This window comes from Homo sapiens, chromosome 7, assembly GCF_000001405.40.
Source record: "Homo sapiens chromosome 7, GRCh38.p14 Primary Assembly".
NCBI lineage: Eukaryota > Metazoa > Chordata > Mammalia > Primates > Hominidae > Homo > Homo sapiens.
The window spans coordinates 102,299,810-102,321,726 of record NC_000007.14 but is presented as its reverse complement, the minus strand read 5'-3'; the positions used below and the strand labels follow the sequence as shown (position 1 = coordinate 102,321,726).

The following is a 21,917-nucleotide window of genomic DNA, read 5'->3' as shown; positions in this document are numbered from 1 at the left end:
GACAGGAGAGCCGGGTGCAGTCCCTAAAACAGGCTTTTAATAACATCGTGTCTTCACTGAAGAGCTTGGCGTGTCCCACCCGGGCGGCGCCGCGGGCTAGTAGAAGGAGTACTGGTTCTCCACGGCGCGCGCGCGGCCGGGCGCGGCCTCCGGGGGCTCCTCGGCGGCGGTGGCGGCCACGGCCTCCAGCAGGCGCTCGGCGCTGTTGCTGCGGCTCCGCGCGCTGAGCTGGCCCTCGACGGGGCGCGGGGGGGCGGGCCCCGACGCGGCAGAGGACGACGAGGCGGAAGACGAGGAGGCGCCGGCGGCGTCGGAGGGCGAGGCAGGCGGGCAGGCGGCCGCGGCGAGGCTGGAGAAGTAGTGCTGGCCGGGCGAGTCGCTCCAGCAGGCCGGGGACGCGGGCGCGGCAGGGGGCGTGGGGCCCGGCTCTGCAACAAGGCGACGGCAGGGCGTGAGTGGGGACCTGGGCTGGCCACATCCTGCAGGGAGGCCGGGATCCCTCAAGGGGCCAGGGCCCACGCTCAGGTTTCCGAGTTGCAGCCCATGTCCTCGGACACATATGCAAGCACACCCGCCCACATGCATAAACAGAAGCACACACACATACATGTACCTAACCACGCGTGTGCACGCCCATATAGCCACATGCACAGGAGTGCACACACACGCATACATAATGCACACGCTCGCACACAGGCACACAAGCACACGCGTGCCCATGCACGCATGCACACGCTCATGCATATGCGCACACACGCACACGTAAGCGTACGCACACGGGCACATGCACACATACACTCATGCACACACACAAGCACACGCATGCACATGCACCCATGCCCTTAGTGCTCGGTCCCAGCAGCTTTGCTCTGAGCCTCCCCAGTGCAGGGCTTAAGAATCCATATGCCCAGCTCCTTTCATCCCACTTGCCCCAATCCACACCCCTGTCCCCACCCCCATACACCCACCTGCACTGCTGTTGGGCGCCCCCTTCCCCTTGCCAGGAATCATTAGGGACCTGGCTGCCTCTAGGCTGCCACTTCTGCCTCCATTCCTTATGACGTGACTGCTTGAAATTGCTGTGGCTAGGCTAGGGTGGGAGGGACACGGCTGAGGCTATGGGACAGGAGACCTGGGGCTCATCCCACCCCAGGGACCACCTTCTTGAGTAATCAACGGGAAGTCTTCTTGAGTAATCACACCAGCCAGGTGGCGGCATCTTACCTGGTGGGGGGTCCTGGGCCCGCACATAGCTGCGAAGGGTGATGTCGGCCGAGCCCCCTGACTCCAGTGGGATGGGGTGTGTGTGGAAGTGGCGGAGCATGTCAAGCACAGACTGGAACCACAGATGCTGTACGTGACACTGGCCGTGGCCGTTCAGGGACAGGCGCAGGTGCTGTGGGTACAGGTGGGTGTGGTCAGGGGCAGGTCCGGGGCTGGGCACCTGGGTAAGCGCCTTTGGGGGTTGATGGAAGGACCAAGGCTCACAGGGGCTGTATGGGGCTGTGTCAGGGCCGGGGGCCCCTCACACATGAGCCCCATCTGGAGATGGGGAATGGGGGCAACGGACCCAGGCTGAGATGGAAGGCATCAGGCATTGTCCCCATGCTGGGAGCACCTCCACTATGGGCCCATGCCCTACACACCTATAATCTCTAATCCCCTCCCTAATGCCAGAAGATAGGGATTACTGCCCCCATGTTAGAGATAGGAAAACCAAGGCCCAGGGAGGGGGAGTGACTGGCCCATGGTCACAGAGCACAGAGCAGGGAAGAAAACTCCTGTTTGGGTGGTTCCCCCAGCCCAGGAGGCTAGAGGTTGGCCCTCTGTCCCTGCAGAGCCAAAACCCGGAGGCATGGAAAGCTCCCCAGGGCTGGCTGGGGAGGAGTGACCGCACGCTGTGGGAACAGCTGGAACAGGGCTGGCTTCTCTCTAGGTCTCTAGGGCCTGTGTGAGGCAGGTGCCTCAGGGTAAGAAACCATAGGCCTGTGGTGTCTAGTGGAGAGCTGCAGGTCTCTGACTTAAGCCCTATTTTGCTCAACATGTATCCCACTGCAGAAACAAGTGGCTATCTCTGGGGTGTGTGGGGCAAGAGGGGAGCTAAGAGGAGTGGTTTGAGGGTACACGCATAGCCCCAAGCCCAGGAGGGGGAGCTGGTCTGGCCACCTGCATAAAAGACAGACAATCTGCTAGGTGTGGTGGCTCACGCCTGTAATCCCAGCACTTTGGGAGACTGAGGGGAATGGATCACGGGAGGTCAGGAGTTCAAGACCAGCCTGGCCAACATGGTGAGATACCCCCCAACCCTTTAAAAAACAAACAAAAAAATACAGACAATCCCTGGAGCGGGGTGGCGGTCCCACAAGTGAGCTCTGCCACTTAGCAGAATAAGTTGCTAGGACAATGCAGGGACTCAGCCCGAAAGAAACAGCACAGAGGGGTCCCACCACAGCCTCATAGCTGGGCAGAGCCTGCGCAGGGCACAGCTGGGTCCCTGGGGAGAGAAGAAGCAAGTTGGACGCATCCCAATCTTCTGCCAGACCTTCCAGACATTTATTCTGTGAAGGTGGAAAGAGTTGCCTCTGGGAAGGTAGTGATCTTCCCTCCCAGGAGGTATGTAAGCTGGAGGCTGGGGTTCCTGCTTTGTCCCACCATTTACTTATCAGGCCTGGGGCAGTCATCTCCACTCTGGGAGAAGAGCAGCTGGGTAGAGAGGTGAGAGGCAGGTTCAAGGCTGGGTCTTGTTCCAGGAAGGAGAGGAGCTTGCCACCCACCCTTTGTTCCCCCATCCTAGCCTCTGGCTTGGGCATGAGTCAGATCCAGGCCCTCTGGGAGGCTGCCTGGAGCAGCACTGGCTGAGAAGTAAATTGCACGTCACCAGGGATGGCCTTAAGCACCTGGTTGTCGGAGGAACTGTAAGGGTGGCTGCTTGCCAAGGAAATGTCCCTGGTGGAGGTGCTACCTCCTGCATGGTGGGGCCAACCTGGAGGAGGAGAGAAGCCACCAGAGGTTCTGCACTGAGCCACTAGGGGTTAGGGCAGCCGGGGTCCCTGCAGAGAGACACTGTCCCCCAGCTGCAGGCCTGGAGCAGGAGTCCTAAGGTTCTCCCTCCTCTAGTAGGGGCCGCCAGGAAATCCGTCCTGGCAGGAGCCCAGGCTGAGTGTTTCCTTATCGGAAACCTGGGATGCGGGGGTGGGCACTGAGGTTCCTGCCCCCTCTGGCCACATTGCACCCCCCCATAATCATTTGCCTTTGCTGTCAAATTTTCCTTTGAATTTCAGGTCAATAGGCCGGGCGTGGGGGCTCACGCCTGTAATCCCAGCACTTTGGGAGGCTGAGGTGGGTGGATCACCTGAGGTCAGGAGTTTGAGACCAGCCTGGCCAACATGGTGAAACCCTGTCTCTACTAAAAATACAAAAATTAGCCAGGTGTGGTGGTACGTGTCTGTAATCCCAGCTACTTGGGAGGCTGAGGCACAAGAATCGCTTGAACCCGGGAGGCGGAGGTTGCAATGAGCTGAGATTGCGATGTTGCAATCCAGCCTGGAGGATAGAGCGAGACTGTCTCAAAAAAAAACAAAAACAAAAACAAAGCATTTCAGGTCAATATAGCAAGGAATCCTCTTCCTTGAAAGCACACCGCCTGGGTGTACCATCATGCCTCTGATCCAGCTGGGTGCTGTTGGGATCGCCTTCCTGACTGTCTTCCCCTCCACAATTCTCCCTCCCCTGCAGGTCTCTGATCAGGCTGTCCCCTCCAATGCTGAACCCCACCCCCTAGACCCTGCACAGCTCTCCCACCCAGCCCAGCTCCTCCTCCCCTGCTGGGTCTCTAGGGTTTGCCCGTGTGTGTTCCTCAGGGGTTGGTGACCTAACCTGGGCAGGGAAGAGGGGCTGTCTGAGGTCGGTGGGGCAGAAGGTGGGGCTCTGAGGGCCTTGGTTGGCTCCCACCCCCCACTGGGCGATCTCTGGGTGGAGACCCTCCGAAGCTCCAGTGCTATGAGATCCCCCGCGCGCAGGAGCTGAAAGGATTTGCAAATTTGGGTTATTAGAAGGGCCCAGCCTCCTGAGGGCTCAGCCGCCAGTAGGTGGCCTCCCCTTCTGGAGAATGCAGAGGCTGAAATAGGGCTGACTGCAGTCCCTCAGTGATGTGTAGGAGGGACGCAGGTGGCTCACGGAGCATGGCTGGGGTGAGTGGGGCCCGTGGGAAGTCATGCCACACCTGTTCGCCTGCAGCTGCTTCCAGGGCACAGCCTCAGGACCGGGGTCACCATGACCCCTCTCCCTCAGGGCTGGCCACTGCACCCCCATGGCGCCCCCCACACACTTGCCTTGGCCTTGCCCTGGAAGTTGAAGGTCAGCACGTACTCCCCAGGCCGAGTCTCACTTTGGCGGATCACGAAGAGGCCGTGGTTCCGGGGCCCCCCTGCCAGAACCAGTTGAGCAGCCTTGACCCGGGACAGTGTCCCGTGGAACCATGGGTAGTCGGATAGCTCCAGCTCGGGTTCAGCCTCGGGATCCGTCTCTGCACCCTGTTCCCCTGAGGTGGGGATGACAGTGTGAGGAACATGGGGGGAAGGAGAAAGGGGGACAAATAAATAAATGTGAGAAGAGAGGTGACGTCTTGTTGGTTTTTTTACATGCAAAATGCTGTTGGAATAATGTTTAAAAAGTTGGTTGGTTTTTAGTTTTTATTTTTTTTTTGAGACGAAGTTTCGCTCTTGTCGCCCAGGCTGGAGTGCAATGCTGCAATCCCGGTGGCTGACTGTAACCTCTGCCTTCCGGGTTCAAGCGATTCTCCTGCCTCAGCCTCCCGAGTAGCTGGGATTACAGGCGCCCACCACCACACCCAACTAATTTTTGTATTTTTAGTAGAGATGGGGTTTCACTGTGTTGGTCAGGCTGGTCTCAAACTCCTGACCTCAGATGATCCACCCACCTCGGCCTCCCAAAGTGCTGCGATTATAGGTGTAAGCCATTGCGCCCAGCCTTATTTTTTATTTTTTAGAGATGGAGTCTTGCTGTGTTCCCCAGGCTGGTCTCAAACTCCTAGGCTCAAGTGATCCTCCTGCCTTGGCCTCCCAAAGTGCTGGGATTACAGGTGTGAGCCACTGCACCTGGCCTGAATATTTTTTTGTTTGAGACAGAGTCTTGCTCTGTTGCCCAGGCTGGAATGCAGTGGCGTGATCTCGACTCACTGCAACCTCCGTCTTGCAGGTTCTAGTGATTCTCCTGCCTCAGCCTCCCAAGTATCTGGGATTACAGTCATGCACCACTATACCAGGCTAATTTTTGTATTTTTAGTAGAGACAGGGTTTCACCATGTTGCTCAGGCCGGTCTTAACTCCTGAGCTCAGGCAATCCGCCCGTCTTGGCCTCCCAAAGTGCTGGGATTACAGGTGTGAGCCACTGCGCCCAGCCAAATAATTTTATTTATTTATTTATTTTTTGAGATAGGGTCTTGCTCTGTCACCCAGGCTGAAGTCTAGTGGCACAATCATAGCTCACTGCAGCCTTGGCCTCCTGGGCTCAAGCAATCCTCCCACCTCAGCCTCCTGGGTAGCTAGGACTATAAGCCTGTGCCACAATGCCTGGCTAATTTTTGTTTATTTTTTGTAGAGACAGAGTCTTGTTGCCCAGACTAGTCTGGAAGTCCTGGGCTCAAACGATCCTCCTGCCTTGGCTGCTTGAAGTGCTGAGATTACAGGTATGAGCCACTGTGCCCAGCTGGAATAATTTTAGAGTTGGGCAGGGAGCTGACCCAACCCACTGGTGAAGTCTATGAGGTAAACTGAGGCACAGAGCTGTGAAGGACTATCCTGGAGTTACTCTGTAAGTCATCAGCAAACTTAGGAACAAATCCAGTCGCCTGTTCCCAATCCCTGATTCCAACCCTATGGACCCTTTTCTGTGAGCTCCTTCCTTCCCTCCCTCCCTCCCTCCCTCCTTTCTTCTTTTCTTTTCTTTTTTTTTTTTTTTTTTCTTTTCACAGGGTCTCTCTCTGTTGCTCAGGCTGGAGTGCAATGGTGTGATCACAGTTCACTGTAGGCTTGACCTCCTGGGCTCAAGTGATCCTCCCACCTCGGCCTCCCAAGTAGCTGGGACTACAGGCACAAAAATGTTTGTGGCCAGGCGTGGTGGCTCACACCTATAATTCCAGCACTTAGGGCAGGAGTTCAAGATCAGCCTGGCCAACATGGCAAAACCCCATCTCTACCAAAAATACAAAAATGAGCCAGGCGAGGTGGCGGGCACCAGTAATCTCAGCTACTCGGGAGGCTGAGACGTGAGAATTGCTTGGACTTGGGGGTGGAGGTTGCAGTGAGTTGTGATCCGCCACTGCACTCCAGCGTGGGCAACAAAGTGAGACTCTTGTCTCAAAAATTTTGTACAGATAGCGTCTTGCTATGTTGTCCAGGCTAGTCTCAAACTCCTGGCTTCAAGTGATCCTCAGCCTCAAAAAACACTGGCTGGGATTACAGGTGTGAGACACTGCACCCAGCCCCTGTGAGCATTTTCTTTTCTTTCTTTTTTTTTTGAGACATAGTCTCACTCTGTCGCCCAGGCTGGAGTGCAGTGGCGTGATCTTGGCTCACTGCAACCTCCGCCTCCCGGGTTCAAGTGATTTTCCTGCCTCAGCCTCCCGAGTAGCTGTGAGTACATGTGTGCACCACCACACCCAGCTAATTTTTATATTTTTAGTAGTGACGGGGTTTTGCCATGTTAGCCAGGCTGGTCTCAAACTCCTGACCTCAGGTGATCCGCCCGCCTTGGCTTCCCAAAGTGTTGGGATTACAGGCGTGAGCCACCGCACCCGGCCCCTGTGAACATTTTCTATTGAAACTGGGTCCAGTGGGAGGGGCCAGGTTCCTAGACCAGTCTACAAAAGCCAGAAGTACTTCGGAGACGTGTGAAGGACCCAGGAGGATGAGATGTCACAGCTTCTGAGGCTTAGCAAGGTTTAGGGAGCCCATGGGTGGCCATGGCTGGGGGTGGGGGTCCAGGAGAGGTGGGATGGGAAGAGCAGGCTGTCCCCACTGGCACCTGTGTTATTGCTGTCACTGCCGCTGCCGCCCGGGGATTCCAGGGTCTGCAGAAAGGTCTCTAGCGGGACGTGGATCAGGGATTCTCTGACGGCATCTCGACCTCGGCTGTGGGGGGCTGTCACCACTGCACCCACGGCTGTCGTCTCTGGGGGGCGGGGCAGGTCGACTGCTGGGGAAGTGGCAGGTAAGATGCACGTATCTTTATCTGTCCACCCTGAGTGTGCCCCTCCTTCAACCCTGTCCCCCTACCTACCATCAGTCAGGAGCTCACAGCTGCAGGAGGCCACGCGGCTGGCCAGACAGCCTCCTCGGGTACAGGAGAGCTCGGTGTCTTCCTCACTGTCACTGTGGAGACAAGAAATGGAAACCATGTCCTGCCGTGGGACTTGGACTCGGACCACAGGCTACTTATGTGGCCAGGCAGTGGCTGGCAGTCCCATGGCCCAGCATCTAGGCCTCCTGGCTCTGGTCACCTCCCTCTGCCTCCATGTCCCTCTGTCCCACCCTACACTGGCTCTGTGGCCACCGTGTGATTGACCAGGCCACTGTTGGGGCTCAGAAAACAATACCGCAAAACAAAGTCCTCAGCAGCAGCCTCGAACAAAAAAGTTTTTCTCTGACCTTCTCCTGCCTACTTGTCTCTCAGTCCTCTTCTCCCCAGAGGCACCAGAGAAACAAAAGTCCCTTTTTCCCAAGGTGGGTCACAGAAACCAGAACCCCTTTTCCCAAAACGTAGTCATAAAACCTAAAAATATTCTTTTTTTTTTTTTGAGACGGAGTCTCACTCTGTTGCCAGGGCTGGAGTGCAGTGGCGCGATCTCGGCTCACTTTGCCTCTGCCTCCTGGGTTCAAGCGATTCTCCTGCCTCAGCCTCCTGAGTAGCTGGGATTACAGGCATCTGCCACCATGCCCGGCTAATTTTTTTGTATTTTTAGTAGAGATGAGGTTTCACTGTGTTGGCCAGGCTGGTCTCAAACTGACCTCGTGATCTGCCTGCCTCGTCCTCCAAAAATGCTGGGATTACAGGCGTGAGCCACTGCGCCCGGCCAACCTAAAAATATTCTATGTAAAAACTTGTCATAAAGAAATTATCCAGCCAGGCACAGTGGCTCATGTTTGTAATCCTAGCATTCTGGGAGGCTGAGGTGGGAGGATCACTTGAGGTCAGGAGTTTGAGATCAGCTCGGGCAACATAGCGAGACCCCCATCTTTTTTGTTTGTTTGTTTGTTTTGAGATGGGAGTCTTGCTCTGTCACCCAGGCTGGAGTGCAGTGGCACGATCTCAGCTCACCGCAACTTCTGCCTCCCGGGTTCAAGTGATTCCCCTGCCTCAGCCTCCTGAGTAGCTGGGATCACAAGCATGCGCCACCATGCCCAGCTAATTTTTTTTTTTTTTTTGTATTTTTTGCAGAGATGGGGTTTCACCATGTTGGCCACGCTGGTCTCAAACTGGTGATCTGCCCGCCTTGGCCTCCCAGAGTGTGGGGATTACAGGCGTGAGCCACTGCACCTGGCCGCAAGAACACGTCTTTTTTTTTTTTTTTTTTTTTAGACAGAGTTTTGCTCTTGTTGCCCAGGCTGGAGTGCAATGACGCAATCCTGGCTCACTGCAACCTCTGCCTCCCGGGGGTTCAAGCAATTCTCCTGCCTCAGCCTCCCGAGTAGCTGATATTACAGGCATGTACCACCACGCCCGGCTGATTTTGTATTTTTAGTAGAGATGGGGTTTCTCCATGTTGGCCAGGCTGATCTCAAACTCCCAACCTCAGGTGATCCGCCCACCTTGGCCTTCCAAAGTGTTGGGATTACAGGCATGAGCCACCGCGCCCGGCCCTGAGAATCTCATCTTAATAAAAGAAAATTAGCTGGGCGTGGTGGTGAGGCAGGAGGGTCAATGGAGTCCAGGAGTTGGAGGCTGCAGTGAGCTGTGATCATGCCCCACTGCCCTCCTGCTTGGGCAACGGAGCAGAAAAAAAAAGTAAAAACAAAAGGAAAGAAAGAAACGGAAGAAGGAAAGGAAAGCAAGAAAGAAAGAAAAAAAGAAAGAAAGAAATTACCCAATCTGCCTGGTTTGACTGTAGGTCATAAGACCCCCATTCAAGATAGGGTTCTGTCCCACACCCAGAAGGAAGGAATGCTACTCAGAGAGGCCAAGAAGAATCTGGACAGACAGGCCTGGCTGGGTCCCCTGCTCAGTCTATTCCCTTTAGATCCTACCCTTTGTATCCAATCCTCTTTCTACACTGCTGTCCATACTTTGCTGAACCTAAGCATAAAAATGGACCATTTCCCTGTATCCTTTTTTTGAGACAGAGTCTCCCTCTGTTGCCCAGGCTGGAGTGCAGTGGTGTGATCTCGGCTCACTGCAACCTCTGCCTCCCAGGTTCAAGTGATTCTCCTGCCTCAGCCTCCCAAGTAGCTGGGATTACAGGTGCATGCCACCACCAGGCCCAGCTAATTTTTGTATTTTTAGTAGAGATGAGGTTTCACCATGTTGGCCAAGCTGGTCTCAAACTCCTGACCTCGTGATCCGCCTGCCTCGGCCTCCCAAAGTACTGGGATTACAGGCATGAGCCACCATGCCTGGGATTTTTTTTTTTTTTTTGAGACTGAGTCTCACTCTGTCACCCAGTGGAGTTCAGTGGTGCAATCTCAGCTCACTGCAACCTCCGCCTCCCAGGTTCAAGCAATTCTCCTGTCTCAGCCTCCTGAGTAGCTGGGATCACAGCGGGCCCGCCTCCACCTCCAGCTAATTTTTGCATTTTTAGTAGAGATGGGGTTTCCCCATGTTGGCCAGGCTGGTCTCGAACTCCTGACCTCAGGTGATGTGCCTGCCTCAGCCTCCCAAAGTGCTGGGATTACAGGCGTGCACCACCACGCCCAGCCCTCCCCTGTATCTTTGAGTCTTCATTCTGAAGGCTCCTATGTATACACGTTAAATAAATTTACATGCTTTTTCTCCTATTAATCTGCCTTGTGCAGCTAAGCACTGTGGCTCATGCCTGTAATCCCAGTGCTTTGGGAGGCCGAGGCAGGCGGGTCTCTTGAACCCAGGAATTCAAGACCAGCCTGGACAACATAGCACGATCCCGATCCCGTCTCTAAAAAAAAAAAAAAAAAAAAAAAGGCCAGTTGCAGTGGCTCACGCCTGTAATCCCAGCACTTTGGGATGATGAGGTTGTCAGATCACCTGAGGTCAAGAGTTCGAGACGAGCCTGACCACCATGGGGAAACCCCGTCTCTGCTAAAAATATAAAAATTAGCTGGGCTTGTTGGCAGGTGCCTATAATCTCAGCTACTTGGGAGGCTGAGGCAGGAGAATTGCTTGAACCTGCGAGGTGGAGGTTGCAGTGAGCTGAGATTGTGCCATTACATTCCAGCCTGGATGATGGAGCGAGACTCCATCTCAAAAAAAAAAAAAAATTAAGCCAGTCATCGTGGCATGTGCCTACAGTCCCAGTTACTTGGGAGGCTGAGGCAGGCAGATCAGTCGAGCCCAGGAGGTCGAGGCTGCAGTGAGCTTGATTGCACCACTGTACTCCAGCCTGGGTGACAGAGCAAGACCTTACCTCTAAAAAATAAAATAATAAAATAAAAATAAATAAATAAATTTGTATGCCTTTTCTCTCATTTATCTGCCATTTGCAAATTGATTTTCCACTGAAACTTCAGAAAGCCCAGGGGAAGGCTCTCTCTTGGCCCGGATACCACTGAGTGGACAGTCCCCACTGAGGGCCCATGATCCCTGCCCACTATCCTTGAGGGGCTGGGCTCCTCCTGGGATCCCGTGCAGACCCTCAGAGGGTGGGAAGGTTTCTCTCCCGATTTGTGACATGAGGTGTCTGGGACCCTGCCAGCTCGAAAATTCCACTAAGTGAGGTTCACCTTCACAGCGGCTGGGGAAAGAGTTTGCAGAGCAGATGGTCCGGAGGGCGGTGGAGGAGGGATTACAATCACTTTGTGGATCAGGGCCTGGGAGGCGCCCAGGACCTTAATTGTGTTTCTTTAAATGAAGCTGTTAATTAGAAAGCAGCGGCCCTTCCCCCCGGGGCTTGGCTCACCCCATTAGCCAGCAGAGCTGCTGCCAATTGCTCAGCCTGTCGGGCTGCCTATCCCTCCTACTCCTGGCCTGGCATCTCTCCTGGATGGTGGAGCCAACCTTCTTGCTGCTCTTCCTGTTCACAGCTGACCGTAACTGCCCTCTGCCTATTACCTGCCATGGCTCCCATTGTCCCTGACCTACCCGTTTCCTGAGCTCTCATCAAAATCTCCTCCTCACTGGCTACCCCAAAGGCCTTGATGTTCCCTGCGAGTCCCAGGTGCTTGTACACTTGCACACCTTTTAAAATTATTATTATTAATATTTTGAGACAGTCTTGCTCTGTCGCTCAGACTGGAGTGCAATGGCACAGTCTCAGCTCACTGCAACCTCTGCCTCCCGGGTTCAAGCGATTCTCCTGCCTCAGCCTCTCGAGTAGCTGGGATTACAGATGCCCGCCACGATGCCTGGCTAATTTTTGTATTTTTAGTAGAGATGGGTTTTCACCATGTTGGCCAGGCTGGTCTCAAACTCCTGACCTCAGGTGATCCGCCTGCCTCGGCCTCCCAAAGTGCTGGGACTATGGGCATGAACCACTGTGCCTGGCCCCGGCCAAATTTTTATTATTATTTTTTAAGAGTTAGGATCTTGCTCTGTTGCCCAGGCTGGAGTGCAGTGGTGCAATCCTAGATCACTGCAGCCTCCAACTCCTGGGCTCAAGTGATCCTCCAGCCTCAGCCTCCTGAGTAGCTGGGATAACAGATGCATGCCACCGTGCCCAGTTCCATTTCCACTCTTTTTGCTGGGCTTTTCTCTCTGCCCTCTCCCATCTTCCTCTGCCTGGCATTGGTCCACTCTTTATTTAAGCCTTGGGTTAGGTGAGCACGCCTAACAGCAACTCTTCCCTGACCTGAGCCCAGGGCTGGGTTAGGAGCCTCTCTCCAGCTCTCTCTATTTTTTTTTATTTTAAGAGACAGGGTTGGCTGGGCACAGTGGCTCATGCCGGTAATCCCAGCACTTCGGGAGGCTGAGTTGGGCGGATCACTTGAGGTCTGGAGTTCGAGACCAGCCTGGCCAACATGATGAAACCCCGTCTCTACTAAAAATATAAAAATTAGCTGCGCATGGTGGTAGGCGCCTGTAATCACAGCTACTTAGGAGGCTGAGGCAGGAAAATTGCTTGAACCTGGGAGGCGGAGATTGCAGTGAGCCAAGATCACACCACTGCACTCCAGCCTGGGCAACAGAGCAAAACCCTGTCTCAAAAAAAAAAAAAAAAAAAAAAAGAGAGAGAGAGAGAGAGGGTCTGGCTATGTTGCCCAGGCTGGTCTTGAACTCCTGGCTCAAGCGGTCCTCCCAGCTGGGCCTCCCAAAGTGTTGGGGTCACAGATGTGAGCCACTGCACCAGGCCCCCAGCCCTTTGGGGACTCACTGCCATCTCTGCCCAACTCCCAGTGCTCTGAGGCTCTCTTGGGGTGAAGACAAGACCTGGTCCAACTTCCTTCCAGGTCCCCAGGCCCTGGCCCCATAGAGCAGGCCTCACAGAGTCTGCTGGCGATTGGAGGTAGGGGGTATTTTAAAGGAGGGTGATCCTGGCTGGCACCAACCTGAATCGCATTGAATTGCTCATTTCTCAAGCTGAGCTCCCGCCCTGCTAGGAAGCTGCTCCTGGTGAAGGCTGGACCAAGGATATACCCAGCCTGTCCACCCATCTTCGGGCCACTTGGACACTCACCCGGGGTCCACGCAGCCCTGGATGTCAGCTACCCACGAGTGCTTCTGCAGAGAGTCGATGGTCTCCAAGATGTATTCGGCTCCATTCTCTACCTGGGGAGGAAGGTGGCCGGGAGTGCAGAACACGGTCAGCAGATGGGCTCCAGACCACAGGACATAGGGTCAGAGTGGCTCAAATGGCTGATCCCCCTCTCCCACAGCAGGGCTCAAGGGCATGAGCAGCAGGAAAGAAAGTGGGGTCACCATCGGGCACCACCTGGAACTCAGGCCAGGGACCCAGCTCACACTCTGTATTCCCTCCCTTCTGGGCCTCCCCACTGGGGATATGTCCCACCCCACTGATCTCAGCTCCTCTGCCTTAGAGACACAGCCTCTGAGGAGGCCATGCTGGCAGGGGGAGGGATGGGTGGCCCAGCATCCCCAACCCATGCCCTGGCACCCCAGGGGTGGGGTTCAAGTTGAGTGGAGAGACAGGCTGGCCAAGCACACTGAGTAGGGGGGCTTGCATGTCTTAGTGCCTGGAGTTCTACCGGCATGGCCATGCGCTTGAGATACGAAGCCTCTGAAGGGGAAGAGGGCAGGAGACATCCCTGCTGGGGCCAGGCCCAGAGCATAACCCTGCATTCTGCTCAACTCCTCCCAACGGCCCTGTGAGGGAGAGGAGCCATTTCCCCCATTTTATAGATGAGAAGACCAAGGTTCAGGGAGGCCAAGGAACTTGGTCAAAGTCACACAGCAGCCAGTGGCAGGGCCAGGGCCTGAACCCAGGTCTCTGGGACACCCAGGTCCCGTGCTGTTGGCTTCCGGTGGTGTGCCTCTGTCAAAATGCAGTTGCTGGGCCGGGCGCGGTGGCTCACGCCTGTAATCCCAGCACTTTGAGAGGCTGAGGAGGGCAGATCTCCTGAGCTCAGGAGTTCGAGACCAGCCTGGGCAACATGGTGAAACGCTGTCTCTACCAAAAATACAGAAATTAGCCAAGCATGGTGGCGTGTGCCTTTGGTCCCAGCTACTCAAGAGGCTGAGATGGAAGGATCACCTGAGCCCGGGAGGAGGAGGTTGTAGTGAGCCGAGATCGCGCCATTGCACTCCAACCTGGGTGACAGAGTGGGACCCATCTCCAAACAAAGAAAAAAAAAAAACAAAAAAAATGTAGTTGTTGGGCTCCCAGGATGACAGAGCTGGGAGGGTTCTCGGAGACTGCCTTTAATCCCGCTCTGAACAGATGGGGAAACTGAGGCAGGTGAGCCCCTCTGCCTCAAGGCTGTCATGCATGATCAGCAGTTTAGAGGGTACCAGGTGGGCAGGGGCTGTGTCCCCAGCCCCCAGCCTGGGATGACTCAGGGTCCGGGGTTGGTAAACACTCGCTAAATGAATAAGTGAGTCCGTGACTAAACAAATGAGAACGGGCAGAAACACAAACACAACCAGAAGCTGGGAGAAGAGGGTGGGGGCTTCATGCAGGATGAGTGGGTGGGACCAGGCCTCCCCGGGGACATTGCTTCACCAACACCCTCTGATCCTTTGCGGATGCCCAGGGACCACAGCTCTGGCAGCCTGGAGCCGTGTCCTCAGAAACCCCTGCAGGCCACCCTGGCAGCGGTGTGGGGCCTGGGAAAGGCTGGGCTGCCCCTAGACCCACCGGGGTGCCTCCCCGCCCCCCCTTGATGCCTTTGTGCCCTCTGTGGGAGACCGCCCAGTTCCCACACTCCAGTGCCCTGGGACAGGAACATTTGCATAACTGCTGCCGGCTGGCCACCAGCGAGGTGGGTGTGTGCTAGCTCCAGTGGGGGAAGGGAGGGCAGGAAGTGAAACTGATGAGCTTCGCCCAGGCCCAGGGGTAAATGGGAGCAAGGGGCCCAGATGTTGGGCGACGCCCGAGGCACCTGGCTGTGGAGCCCAGACTCAAGTCTTAGCTATGTGCTAGGCATCTGTCATAGGGTCTGGGAACCCCCCACACCAGGGCTCCCTCCCACTACTGTCCTGCCTTAGGCTCCTTCCCCTCGCTCCCCTAGGGAGCTGTAGCACCTAAAGGGAAGGTGGCCTGGGGCAGCTGGAGGATCTCTGAGGTTAGGGGTGAGACCTCACCTTGAGGACGAATGTGTTATCCTTCTCTGGCATTTCCAGGGGCATGGTGGTGCGGACCTCAATGATGGCTGACAGTGGGATGCTGACCTTGGGCCTGGAGGCCTGGGGGCCAGAAGAAGGATAGTGAGTGGCCCCAGCATTTCCCGACACCCTTTCCATCCCCTCCCCGCTGCCAGGTGTTAGAGTGGCCCTCAAATAGACTGCCACAGCCACCCTGGTACAGAGGTATCCCAATCCCCATTTCACAGAGGGGGAAGCTGAGGAAGGCATTTCTTTGAAACAAGAAAGAAATTTTTCCTGGCTAGGCATGGTGGCTCATGCCTGTAATCCTAGCACTTTGGGAGGCCGAGGCAGGAGGATGGCCTGAGTCCAGTAGTTCAAGGACAGCCTGGACAGCATAGCAAGACCTTATCTTTACTCGAGACCAAAAAATGGGCTGGGTGCGGTGGCTCACGCCTGTAATCCCAGCACTTTGGGAGGCCGAGGCGGGCGGATCACCTGAAGTCGGGAGTTTGAGACCAGCCTGACCAACATGGAGAAACCCCATCTCTACTAAAAAATATACAAAATTAGCCAGGCGTGGTGGTGCATGCCTGTAGTCCCAGCTATCTGGGAGGCTGAGGCAGGAGAATCGCTTGAACCCAGGAGGCGGAGGTTGCGGTGAGCTGAGATTGCGCCATTGCACTCCAGCCTGGGCGACAAGAATGAAACTCCGTTTCACAGAAAAAAAAACGAAACAAAAAGAGACCAAAAAACTTAGCCGAGTGTGGTGGCATGAGTGCCTGTAGTTCCAGCTATTTGGGAGGCTAAGGTGGAAGGATCGCTTGATCAGGGGAGGTGGTCGAGGCTGCAGTGAGCTATGATGGCACCACTATACCCCCACCTGGGTGACAGAGTGAGACGATGCCTCAAAAAAAAAAAAAAAAAAAGAAAAAAAAAAAAGGACCTCCTCCTATAGTCACCTTGCAAGTCCAGGACAGAACCAGAATTGACATCTGAGCCTCCTACCTCCAAGCCCTGAGGAGAAAACCCCACCTGGGCTGCCCTCTGCCCAATGCACCCACGAGATCTGTGGTTTTCTTATTTTTGACCTTGACCCATTGTGAGAAATACATTTAACACTGGGGCCCAATACACACATACGCAGGTAAAAATATCTCTGAAACAAACATCTCACCAGACAATAGTTACCCTTCCTGTGTGGGATAGAGTGTGATATTTTCTATTCTATTCTAGTTCACGTTTTAAAAAATGCTGGTCTTGGCTGGGTGTGGTGGCTCACACCTGTAATTTCGCACTTTGGGAGGCCAAGGAGGATGACTTGAGGTCAGGAATTCCAGACCAGCCTGGGCAACATGATGAAACCCCATCTCTACTAGAAATACAAAAATTAGCCAGGCGTGGTGGTGCGTGCCTGTAATCCCAGCTACTTGGGAGGCTGAGGCACGAGGATCACTTGAACCCGGGAGGTGGAGGTTGCAGTGAGCTGAGATTGCACCACTGCACTCCAGCCTGGGCGACAGAGTGACACCCTGTCTCAAAATATAAAATAAAATAAAATAAAATAAAAAAATAAAAAATGATGGGTCTTAAAACCTGGTTGCTTAAAGAAAAAATGCTGGTCTCCTACTACAGACCCGACCTTCCAGAGCAGGGCCTGGAGCCCCCGACTCAGAACGGGGCTCACTGTTTCCTGGAGTGAGTAAAAGGGACCAGTGTTCCCAACAACGCTGCGGGCAGGGTTGATCCAAGGTGAGCTGGCAGGGCTCTGTGGGACCGCCACTCTGTGCCTGGCCCCACTCGCTCTGCCTCAAAGCTCCCTGCCGTGAGCCTGAGGCCCCCTTGGGGCTGGCCTGAGTGAGATTCCCAGCAGCGCTGTCTCCAGGACAGGAACTTTCTTAGGAGGAAATGGAAAGGCCACACATTTGATGGGCAGGCAGATGGGAATTCCAGGAAGAACTGGCCCCTGTCCAGCGCGTGCAGGGCTAGGCTTGAAGCATGAACGGGGCCTGGCTAACCCCGGTGTGTGGCCATCGTGCCGGCCAGCGGGGCTGGGGACAGAGCAGACAGAGGCCTGCAGTGGAGGCCTGGACTGGAAGCTTCAGCAGGTATCCTGCTGGCCAGAGATGCTGTGGTTCCCCAGTTTGGAATCTGAGGTCCGTCAGTCCTGGTCCAGCTTCCTCCCACCTGCTCCAGCCACAACGCACTGTGCCCACATGCCTGAATGGTCAACTTGTTTACAACTCCAGGCCTTTGCCCACAGAGCTTGAACCTCCAAAAGTGCTGTTCCAGGGTGCTGGCCACCTGGTGAACACTTAGGTAGCCCAAGCTTTTCCTCCGGGGCTCACCCCAGTAAGATTTGCAAGCATCTTGAAAATACCAGGTTTCCCAGTGGTTTCCCTAATGGCGGGGGGCCGGCCTCATTGTTCCTTGGGTCCCCAGGGCTTGGCCTGGCATAGGGCAATGAGGGGACCTGGGGTTCAGGAGGCTCTTCCTGCAGGGGTGAGGAGGCAGGAAGCCAGAGACCTGACTCACCAGGGCTGGCACCTCAAAGGCTGTGTGAGAGGGAAATCTAAGGTGCCAGGCAATGGCTTCTGAGCCTGCAGGCCCCGAGCTCCTGACTGCTCCAAGGGTGCATCTAGGCCTCTTGGAGGCAAGAGATCTGGACCGTGGGTGGGTGCAGAGGCAGTGGGGGTATCATTCAGGGCATCCCAGGGGGCTCACTCACCCTGGGAGCCTGTCTCCTGGGACCAGACACATTTGGGAAACTCAACCAAGTTCTTAGCATGGTAGGAGCTGCCCTCCCATGGGAATGACTCCTGAATACCCACAAATGCCCCCACCTTTGCATGACACAAAGGAGGGGAAGGGCCCAGTGACCCTGCAGGAACGCTGCCCTCTGCCAGCAGCAAAATTAGTGGGCTCTGCTGGGACTAAGCGGTGGAGTGGGGCGGGGGCGGGCACCAGCTGCTCCTTCCCCTTCTCCGAGGGCAGCAGACACTGCTATTTACAGAAGGGCAGCTGTGACTGTCACTCAGGCCCAAGGCACTGGAGCCCTGGGCTTCTGTCCCTGCCCTCTGGGTGACCCCGGGTAAGCCCCACCCCACCCGTCACTGGGCCTCGGTTTCCCTTTCTGACAAGGAGTGGAGTCGGGCTTAGGGGTCTAGGATTTCTCCCAGGGAATTAAAGGCAGGGGCCTGGGCAGGAAAAAAGCCCTAGGGAAGTGTAGGGGTGCTGGGACCTGGGGAAAAAGCTCTTCAGAGAGTAGCTGTGTCCCTGGGAAGTCACTTTTCCAGGGCCCATGTGGCTCATGGGCAATGAGCCTTGGGGAGCCCACACCCCTGCACCCCAGCAGACTGAGAGATGGAGAGAGAGCCAAGAAGCGGCGGGTGACTCAGAGAGCACCCAGGGACAGAGTGGGCCCTGATGCGGGAGGTGGGTGTGGGGTCCCCGGTGGTCCCTGGGGGTGCTGTCGGCTGCTGCACCAGCAAAACCTCCCCCTGCCTAAACCTCTCAGTGCCCAAGGACCTCCACTTCCATGTTCCTTTCGTTCTTGGGACCACCAGGGTGGCAGGTATCATTAGATCGGATTTTTTTTTTTTTTTGAGACAGAGTTTCGCTCTTGCTGCCCAGGCTGGAGTGCAATGGCGTGATCTCGGCTTACCACAATCTCTGCCTCCTGGGTTGAAGTGATTCTCCTGCCTCAGCCTCCCAAGTAGCTGTGATTACAGGCATGTAATCCTGTATTTTTATTAGAGACGGGGTTTCTCCATGTTGGTCAGGCTGGTCACGAACCCCTGACCTCAGGTGATCCACCTGCCTCGGCCTCCCAAAGTGCTGGGATTACAGGCATGAGCCACCGCGCTCGGCCCCCAGTTTTTTGTTTTGTTTTGGTTTGGTTTTTTGAGATAGGGTCTCACTCTGTCGCCTAGCTTAGAGGGCAGTGGTGCAGTCTTGGCTCACTGCAACCTCTGCCTCTTGGGTTCAAGCGATTCTCCTGCCTCAGCCTCCCAAGTAGCTTGGACTACAGGTGCGCGCCACCATGTCCTGCCATGTTAGACCAGCTCTGGCACCCGCCAGCTGGGTGACGTTGGGCAGGCCACACTTCCCTCTCTGAGCATCTGTCTGCGCTCTCTTCTGTAATCTGGGGACCATGTGCTCACCTCGCTGGGGTGGGGTACCCAGAGGATGACAGTGTGTCTGTGCAGATGCCCACCAGGCTGGGGTCTGGACACACTGTGGGCTCTCAGAGGGTGGGCACTATTGTTACAGCTATTCCCACTTTCCAAAGCAGGGGGGCCACCTTGGAGAAGACGTGACACTACTGCCAGGGACCTGATGGCCAGCCCCTAAGAGGGGAAGGGTCAGTGCATGCCAGTGAGCAACAATGTTGGTGACAGCCAGAAAGAAGCCTGGCATCCCCCTGGCCAGAAAAGGACCCCCTGGGCAGGGGCTGGGCTGGAGTCTGGCAGCTGAGCTGGGGAAGAGCAGAGCCCCATGGAGTCAGACACAGACCTCCCAGGGAGCCCTCTGCGAATGTGCTCGGTCACTCCTGCCCTCATCCCTGCAGGCCTCGGCTCTGGGAGGTGCCAGGCACCCTTGGGCTGCAGGAGAGGAGGGCAGGTAGCCAGGCTCTTGAACAACATCAAGAACGGTGCCCTGGGCTGGGCACAGTGGCTCATGCTTGTAATCCCAGCACTTTGGGAGGCCAAGGTGGGGGAGGATCTCTTGAGCTCAGGAGTTCCAGACCACTTGAGCAACATAGTCAGATCCCGTCTTTACGAAAAATAAAAAACATTAGCTGGGAGTGGCGGTGTGTGTGGTCCCAGCTACTTGGGATGCTAAGAAAGGACTGCTTGAGCCTGGGAGGTGAAGGCTGCAGTGAGCCATGATTGTACCACTGCATTCCAGCCTGAGTGACGGCCCCTGTCTCAAAACAAAAAGGAAAGAAAGGCTGGACATGGTGGCTCACGACTGTAATCCCAACACTGGGAGGCTGAGGCAAGCAGATCACTTGAGGTAAGGAGTTCAGGACCAGCCTGGCCAACATGGCAAAACCCTGTCTCTCCTTAAAATACAAAAATTAGCCGGGCATCGTGGTGGGTGCCTGTAAATCCCAGCTACCTGGGAGGCTGAGGCAGGAGAATCCCTTGAGCCTGGGAGGCACAGGTTGCAGTGAGCCGAGATCGTACCACTGCACTCCAGCCTGGGTGACAGAGGGACACACACACACGCGCGCGCACACACACACACACACACACACGGACACACACACACACACACACGAAAAGAAAAAATTAGTGCCCCAGAACCCTTTGGTGTAGCCAGAGGACCCTTCCTCGCAAAGGAAGAACCGGGGTTGAAGGGGTGACTTGTTCAAGAGGCATGACAGGCCCACCTCCCAGGGTCCTGGCACCAAATACTTCACCCTGTCAACCAGATTAGACCACGCGGTCCCCAAAGGCAGTCCCTGGCACCCTCAGCTGCTGCCCAGGTGCCTCCTCTGGTCCCCCCAGGCTAGGTGGGATTATGGGGTAACTCACTTTGGGCGGCACGAAGAACTCCAGGCGGAAGCGTTCCTCGGCCACAGCCCTGCGCAGGAGCAGGCGGCACTTCTGCCACTGAGCCGAGCCCCCGGAGCCCGCGGCCGCGTCGTCGGCCACCATGAAGCGCAGCGCCCCCTCGCGTTGAATGTCCACCAGCTCCACCTTGGCAGCCAGCGTCCGCGACAGCCTCAGGCGCCGCGTCCACTTGTCGCGGGGCTCGGCGGTGCGCGGGGCAGCTGCCGCGTCGGGCTCGGGCGAGGCGCGCCGGTGCCACATGTCGCGCACGCCGTCCACCACGCACAGGCTCATGTTGCGCAGCGAGAAGCCCTTGCGAACGCGGGCCTTGGTGGCCGCGTGCGTGGACACGTCCTCCGAGCTCCGCGAGTGGCCGTAGGGCGCCGCCTTGAGTGCAGAGGTGTCCGCGAGCTCCGGCTCCATGGCCTCTGCGCTCACGGCCGCGCCCCGAGTCGTCGGCCCAGCCACCAGCACGCGGCGCACCTCCTCGCCGAAGACGTCCAGGAAGTTGGCGGCGAAGTGGCGGGAGAAGGAGGCGCCGGCGTCGGGCGTGTCGTAAGCTGGGTTGTCCCGCAGGAAACGGCAGAACTTGTGCGCAAAGTCCACGGCGGCCGCCTGCGCATGCAGCTCGCAGAACTGCCGCCAGTCCGGGACCGGGACCGGGACTGGGACCGGGGCGGCTGCGGCGGGGCCAGGGCCGGCACCATTCATGGCTTCCGTCCCATCGCAGCCACCTGCGGCTTCGGGCGAGAAGAGCGCGCAGTGACTTTCAGGCCTGTGATCAATGCGCCCACCTGTCCCCTCCTTCCAGCTCCCCTAGGACTCTCTGGGGCTGTGTGGGTGTGTGTGTACATGCACACGTGTGTGTTGTGGGACTACAGCAGGCAGCCATTCCAAGCAGCATGGATGTGTGTAAAGAGAAAGACAACTGGGGCCGGGCGCGGTGGCCCACGCCTGTAATCCCAGCACTTTGGGAGGCCGAGGTGGGTGGATCACCTGAGGTTGGGAGTTCGAGATCAGCCTGGTCAACATGGTGAAACCCCGTTTCTACTAAAAATACAAAAATTAGCCGGTTAGCCGGGTGTGGTGGTGCACGCTGTAACCCTAGCCATCGAAAGGCTGAGGCAGGAGAACTGCTTGAGCCCAAGAGGCAGAGGTTGCAGTAAAAATACAAAAATTAGCCAGGAGTGGTGGCACACGCCTGTAGTCCTAGCCACTCCGGAGGCTAAGGCAGGAAAATCACTTGAACCCAGGAGGCAGAAGTTGCAGTGAGCCGAGATTGCGCCACTGCACTCCCGCCTGGGCGACAGAGGGAGACTGCAAAAAATAAGAGAAAGACAACTGGGGAGGCAGGAGGTGGTGTCTGCAGAAGGGGCAGTCCTGCATTCATTCTCTCCCCAAATAGTAGTCTCAGGGACCTCAGGGTCATTCCTGGGGCTGGCAGAAGAGGCT

General features: G+C 56.2%; 1 protein-coding gene across 14 annotated transcripts in view, besides 8 other annotated features; it reads right to left on the bottom strand.

The window, feature by feature from the left end:
* The window catches only part of SH2B2 (SH2B adaptor protein 2), a 36,571-nt gene continuing 14,669 nt past the window's right edge, over positions 16–21,917 (bottom strand). For 4 of the 14 annotated variants that reach the window (NM_001394426.1, NM_001359228.2, XM_047419779.1 and 1 more), the window contains exons 2-9: positions 20,448–21,205; positions 14,905–15,006; positions 12,821–12,912; positions 7,300–7,391; positions 7,045–7,215; positions 4,332–4,540; positions 1,225–1,396; positions 16–428 (exon numbers count right to left, since the gene is read on the bottom strand). In NM_001394426.1, the coding sequence (NP_001381355.1) occupies positions 97–428; positions 1,225–1,396; positions 4,332–4,540; positions 7,045–7,215; positions 7,300–7,391; positions 12,821–12,912; positions 14,905–15,006; positions 20,448–21,176 (1,899 nt within the window). In that variant the 5' untranslated portion in view covers positions 21,177–21,205 and the 3' untranslated portion in view covers positions 16–96. The other 10 variants (NM_001393990.3, NM_001359230.2, NM_001359231.2 and 7 more) reach the window with 5 other exon arrangements.
* Positions 1,194–1,906: an enhancer, noted in NCBI's record as "H3K4me1 hESC enhancer chr7:101960288-101961000 (GRCh37/hg19 assembly coordinates)". NCBI's record gives its function as "activates a minimal SCP1, AML or CMV promoter by ChIP-STARR-seq in primed H9 embryonic stem cells {active_cell/tissue: H9 hESC(primed)}" and the evidence as "EXISTENCE:reporter gene assay evidence [ECO:0000049][PMID:30033119]".
* Positions 2,535–3,035: an enhancer, noted in NCBI's record as "H3K4me1 hESC enhancer chr7:101959159-101959659 (GRCh37/hg19 assembly coordinates)". NCBI's record gives its function as "activates a minimal SCP1, AML or CMV promoter by ChIP-STARR-seq in naive H9 embryonic stem cells {active_cell/tissue: H9 hESC(naive)}" and the evidence as "EXISTENCE:reporter gene assay evidence [ECO:0000049][PMID:30033119]".
* Positions 3,609–4,259: an enhancer, noted in NCBI's record as "H3K4me1 hESC enhancer chr7:101957935-101958585 (GRCh37/hg19 assembly coordinates)". NCBI's record gives its function as "activates a minimal SCP1, AML or CMV promoter by ChIP-STARR-seq in naive H9 embryonic stem cells {active_cell/tissue: H9 hESC(naive)}" and the evidence as "EXISTENCE:reporter gene assay evidence [ECO:0000049][PMID:30033119]".
* Positions 4,260–4,911: an enhancer, noted in NCBI's record as "H3K4me1 hESC enhancer chr7:101957283-101957934 (GRCh37/hg19 assembly coordinates)". NCBI's record gives its function as "activates a minimal SCP1, AML or CMV promoter by ChIP-STARR-seq in naive H9 embryonic stem cells {active_cell/tissue: H9 hESC(naive)}" and the evidence as "EXISTENCE:reporter gene assay evidence [ECO:0000049][PMID:30033119]".
* Positions 12,826–13,610: an enhancer, noted in NCBI's record as "H3K27ac-H3K4me1 hESC enhancer chr7:101951399-101952183 (GRCh37/hg19 assembly coordinates)". NCBI's record gives its function as "activates a minimal SCP1, AML or CMV promoter by ChIP-STARR-seq in primed H9 embryonic stem cells {active_cell/tissue: H9 hESC(primed)}" and the evidence as "EXISTENCE:reporter gene assay evidence [ECO:0000049][PMID:30033119]".
* Positions 14,602–14,671: an enhancer, noted in NCBI's record as "active region_26425". NCBI's record gives its function as "activates an Ori minimal core promoter by ATAC-STARR-seq in GM12878 lymphoblastoid cells {active_cell/tissue: GM12878}" and the evidence as "EXISTENCE:reporter gene assay evidence [ECO:0000049][PMID:35858748]".
* Positions 15,182–15,968: an enhancer, noted in NCBI's record as "H3K27ac hESC enhancer chr7:101949043-101949828 (GRCh37/hg19 assembly coordinates)". NCBI's record gives its function as "activates a minimal SCP1, AML or CMV promoter by ChIP-STARR-seq in naive H9 embryonic stem cells {active_cell/tissue: H9 hESC(naive)}" and the evidence as "EXISTENCE:reporter gene assay evidence [ECO:0000049][PMID:30033119]".
* Positions 15,562–15,721: an enhancer, noted in NCBI's record as "active region_26424". NCBI's record gives its function as "activates an Ori minimal core promoter by ATAC-STARR-seq in GM12878 lymphoblastoid cells {active_cell/tissue: GM12878}" and the evidence as "EXISTENCE:reporter gene assay evidence [ECO:0000049][PMID:35858748]".